Genomic DNA, 5,373 nt, shown 5'->3' with positions numbered 1-5,373 from the left:
TTCTTATAAGAATCAGCAGATGTACTGATGCTACGGGAGGGAATTTTAGGTTCATCTGCACCAAGGATTCATATCAAGACTTACAATATAAGACTAGAACACAGTGGAAACAACCAGTTTACGCGTTTGGGTGCAAAAATAGATAAGATGTACAAAACTATGTGATTCTATTTTGAAGGAGCAAATGGTAGGAAGATGTAACCGTTTAAGAAGTATAGTGAATTTAATGGTGCCCCCCCAAAAAAATATATTTTACCTGGAAACTGTGAACATGATCTTACTTGGTAAAAAGGGCTTAAAAGATGTAATTAAGTTAGTAATATGAATATTCCATTAGCCACCCTTCAATGTTTATGCTTACATGGGAAACAAGTACATTTTAAGGTAATAAGCATACTAATAAATATTGTATGTATTATTATGAATAATAATTCTGCTATACTGCAATAGACTGAAAGTGTGTGTCCGCCGACCCTAATCCCAATGTGATGGTATTTGAAAGTGGGGCCTTTGGGAGGTAATTATGTAATGAGAGTGGAGCCCTCCTTGGTAGAATTAGTGCTCTTATAACAAGAGGCCAGAGACCTAACTAGCCCTCTTTCTGCCATGGGATGATACAATGGGAAGTCAGCAGTTAGCAACCTAGAAATGGGCCCCCATCAACCAACCATACTAGCACTCTGATATCACACTTACAGACTCCAGAACTGTGAGAAATAAATTCCAGTGGTTTATAAGCCACCCTGTCTATGGCATTTTGTTATAGGAGACTGAACTAAGACCTTCCCTGATTTCGTTTAATGCTCACAGTAACTGACAAGCCAATATTATTATCACTTCTTCACAACAGAGGAAATTGAGGAAAAGATATAATGACTGCCTAAGGCCATACAACTGGAAAAGGGAAAAAATCAGGATTTGAATGTTGGTGTATGTTTTTCCACTGTCTGTGCTTTTAACTATTTCACACTGCTGCTTGTAGAAATAACACATAATTAAGGACTAACTACCAATTCCCAATAAGTAATACATTTTACTAATCTGTCCATTTATCAGTTGATATCCACAATTCCACAAACATCACAAGTGATGAGCACTTTTAAATATAGCAGGATAAACCTGGTTTTATCTAAATTATAAATTATTAGCCAAAGGGAAGATAACTGAAATTTAATAAGACACTTTGGACTTGATGTTCAGTATACCCATTAGTTATTATTACACAGATCATATGGAGTATATATATATTTTCAAAACAGCAAAGATATTTCATTTGATGATTTTCAATAGATTTTTATGAAACACATTTTATTGGGCTAAATAAATGAAACACTATCTCTGTGGTATTTCTGCATATACATATTCTTTTCTTTACAGGTTTTGAATTTTTGCAAAAATGACATACAAACAGATGGTGGGTTTTGAAACTTTTGCCTCATGCAGTAAATGTACCTTTGTCCAGATGGACATCAGGCTTCAGTGCCAATATTGTACCTCTAACATATGGACAAGAACATTTATGGCAGAATACACTATGTTCATCTTTGTACTTCAACGCAGAAAATGTTTGATTAATTGTTATCCATCATTAGTTTCTGTGGTCAGGGAATCAGAGAGCAAAAGATGGTTAAATAAAATATCAGAAACACTAACTTCAAGTCATTTAACCATGTGTATTTAGCAAAATCTTTCTTACCACATTACAAATTTCATTCTATGAATGTGCTTTTTAAAAGTTTTATTTATATAAAAGTTATATAGGCTGGGTACAGTGGCTCACGGCTGTGATCCCAGCATTTTGGAAGGCCAAGGCAGGCAGACAATGACATCAAGAAATCGAGACCATCCTGGCCAACATTGTGAAACCCCGTCTCTACTAAAAATATAAAAATTAGCTGGGCATGGTCGCGCACACTTGTAGTTCTAGCTACTTGGGAGGCTGAGTCAGGAGAATCACTTGAACCCGGGAGGAGGTTGCAGTAAGCTGAGATCACACCTGTTGCGGGAAGTCAGGGACCCCAAACAGAGGGACCGGCTGAAACCATGGCAGAAGAACATGGATTGTGAAGATTTTATGGACATTTATTAGTTCCCCAAATTAATACTTTTGTAATTTCTTATGCCCGTCTTTACTGCAATCTCTAAACATAAATTGTAAAGATTTCATGGACACTTATCAGTTCCCCAATCAATACCCTTGTGATTTCCTATGCCTGTCTTTAATTTAATCTCTCAATCCTGTCAGTTGAGGAGGATGTATATCATCTCAGGACCCTGTAATAATTGCGTTAACTACACAAATTGTACAGCCTGTGTGTTTGAGCAATATGAAATGTGGGCACCCTGAAAAAAGAACAGGATAACAGCAATTGTTCAGGGAATAAGACAGATAACCTTAAACTCTGACCGCCTGTGAGCTGGGCAGAACAGAGCCATGTTTCTCTTCTTTCAAAAGCAAATGGGAGAAATATCGCTGAATTCTTTTTCTCAGCATGGAACGTCCCTGAGAAAGAGAATGTGCACCTAGGGGTAGGTCTCTAAACTGGCCCCCCTGGGCATGGTAGTCTCTTATGGTCGAGACTGCAGAGGTGAAATAGACTCCAGTCTCCCATAATGCTCTCAGCCTTATTAGGAAGAGGAAATTCCCACCTAATAAATTTTGGTCAGACCAGTTGATCTCAAAACCCTCTCTCCTGAAAAGATGTTATCAATGACAATGGTGCCTGAAACTTCATTAGCAATTTTAATTTCGCCTTGGAGCTGTGGTCCTGTGATCTCGCCCTGCCTCCACTTGCCTTGTGATATTCTATTACCCTGTTAAGTACTTGATGTCTGTCACTCACACCTATTCGCACACTCCCTCCCTTTTTGAAACTCCCTAATAAAACTTGCTGGTTTTTGCGGCTTATGGGGCATCACAGATCCTACCAACGTGTGATGTCTCCCCCAGACGCCCAGCTTTAAAATTTCTCTCTTTTGTACTCTGTCCCTTTATTTCTCAAGCCAGCCAACACTTAGGAAAATAGAAAAGAACGTATGTGATTTTCGGGGCAGGTCCCCCGAAACACACCACTACACTCCATCCTGGCAACAGAGTGAGACTCCGTCTCAAAAAACAAAAAGCTATATATTTTTTAAAGTTCTATAAAAGTTATATATAATTTACTGATTAGAAGTCAACCTTTTTAGAGAGATAGTTTTACAAGTTTTGACAAGTAATATCATCATATAACCACCATCAAAATAAAGATATAGAACCTATCCACCACCCAAAATAGTTTGCTTATGTCATTTGTTAATATAATGAATTACATTATTTGATTTTCAAATTTTAGACCAACGTGGTTTTGGGGGATAAATCACACCTGGTCTTGAGATGTTGTACTTTCTCTATAGTGCTGTGCTGAATTTAATTTACTTAAATATTTAGAATTTCTGCATCTATGGTCATATAGGGATTACTCTGTAGTATTCTTTTTATGCAATGTCTTTGTCTTATTTCAGGATCAGCTAATGAGGCCTCATAGAATAAATTGAAGAACGTCACATATCTTTTTCATTTGTGGCAAAGGTTCATGGGGAAATGATATTTTCTCCCTTAAAAACATTTGTAACAGAGATATAGACCAATGGAACAGAACAGAGCCCTCAAAAATAATGGCACATATCTACAACTACCTGATCTTTGACAAACCTGACAAAAACAAGAAATGGGGAAAGGATTCCCTATTTAATAAATGGTGCTTGGAAAACTGGCTAGCCATTTGTAGAAAGCTGAAACTGGATCCCTTCCTTACACCTTATACAAAAATTAATTCAAGATGGATTAAAGACTTAAATGTTAGACCCAAAACCATAAAAACCCTAGAAGAAAACCTAGGCAATACCATTCAGGACATAGGCATGGGCAAGGACTTCATGTCTAAAACACCAAAAGCAATGGCAACAAAAGCCAAAATTGACAAATGGGATCTAATTAAACTAAAGAGCTTCTGCACAGCAAAAGAAACTACCATCAGAGTGAACAGGCAACCTATAGAATAGGAGAAAATTTTTGCAATCTACTCATCTGACAAAGGCCTAATATCCAGAATCTACAATGAACTCAAACAAATTTACAAGAAAAAAACAAACAACCCCATCAAAAAGTGAGTGAAGGACATGAACAGACACTCTCAAAAGAAGACATTTATGCAGCCAAAAGACACATGAAAAAATGCTCATCATCACTGGCCATCAGAGAAATGCAAATCAAAACCACAATAAGATACCATCTCACACCAGTTAGAACGGCGATCATTAAAAAGTCAGGAAACAACAGGTGCTGGAGAGGATGTGGAGAAATAGGAACACTTTTACAGTGTTGGTGGGACTGTAAACTAGTTCAACAATTGTGGAAGTCGGTGTGGTGATTCCTCACGGATCTAGAAACTAGAAATATCATTTGACCCAGCCATCCCATTACTGGGTATATACCCCAAGGATTATGAATCATGCTGCTATAAAGACACATGCATATGTATGTTTATTGCAGCACTATTCACAATAGCAAACACTTGGAACCAACCCAAATGTCCAACAGTGATAGACTGGATTAAGAAAATGTGGCACATATACACCATGGAATACTATGCAGCCATAAAAAATGATGAGTTCATGTCCTTTGTAGGGACATGGATGAAGCTGGAAACCATCATTCTCAGTAAACTATCTCAAGGACAAAAAACCAAACACTGCATGTTCTCACTCATAGCTGGGAATTGAACAATGAGAACACATGGACACAGGAAGGGGTACATCACACACCGGGGACTGTTGTGGGGTGGGGGAAGGAGGGACGGATAGCATTAGGAGATATACCTAATGCTAAATGACGAGTTAATGGGTACAGCACACCAACATGGCACATGTATACATATGTAACAAACCTGCACGTTGTGCACATGTACCCTAAAACTTAAAGTACAATAATAATAAAATTTAAAAAAAAGAAAAAAAAAGAAAATATTAAAGCAAAAGCAAAAACAACAAAAAACATTTGTAGTATTCACCAGAAAAAAGTTTCTAATTATATGTACTATGTCTTTAATAAATAAAAGACTATTTGAGTTATCTATTTATGCGTTGGCTTTGATCATTTGTTTCTTTTGTGAAAAGAAATTAAATTTTGGGACCCCAAACTTATTTAGCCAAAGGGAAAAGTCAAGCTGGGAACTGAGTCACGCAAACTTGACTCCACCTTTTGGTTCCTAAATAAAATGGTTAGGAGATTAAAAGCTACCCACCTTCCCCATTTTTTGCCAACAAAGAAATTCCTGGTGAGCTGTTAAAACTTAGCTGTTAAAACTTCTCCATGACAAGACTAATTGATAG

The sequence above is a fragment of the Homo sapiens genome, chromosome 7 (genome assembly GCF_000001405.40).
Source record: "Homo sapiens chromosome 7, GRCh38.p14 Primary Assembly".
NCBI classification, from domain to species: domain Eukaryota; kingdom Metazoa; phylum Chordata; class Mammalia; order Primates; family Hominidae; genus Homo; species Homo sapiens.
This window is presented reverse-complemented; position numbering follows the sequence as displayed.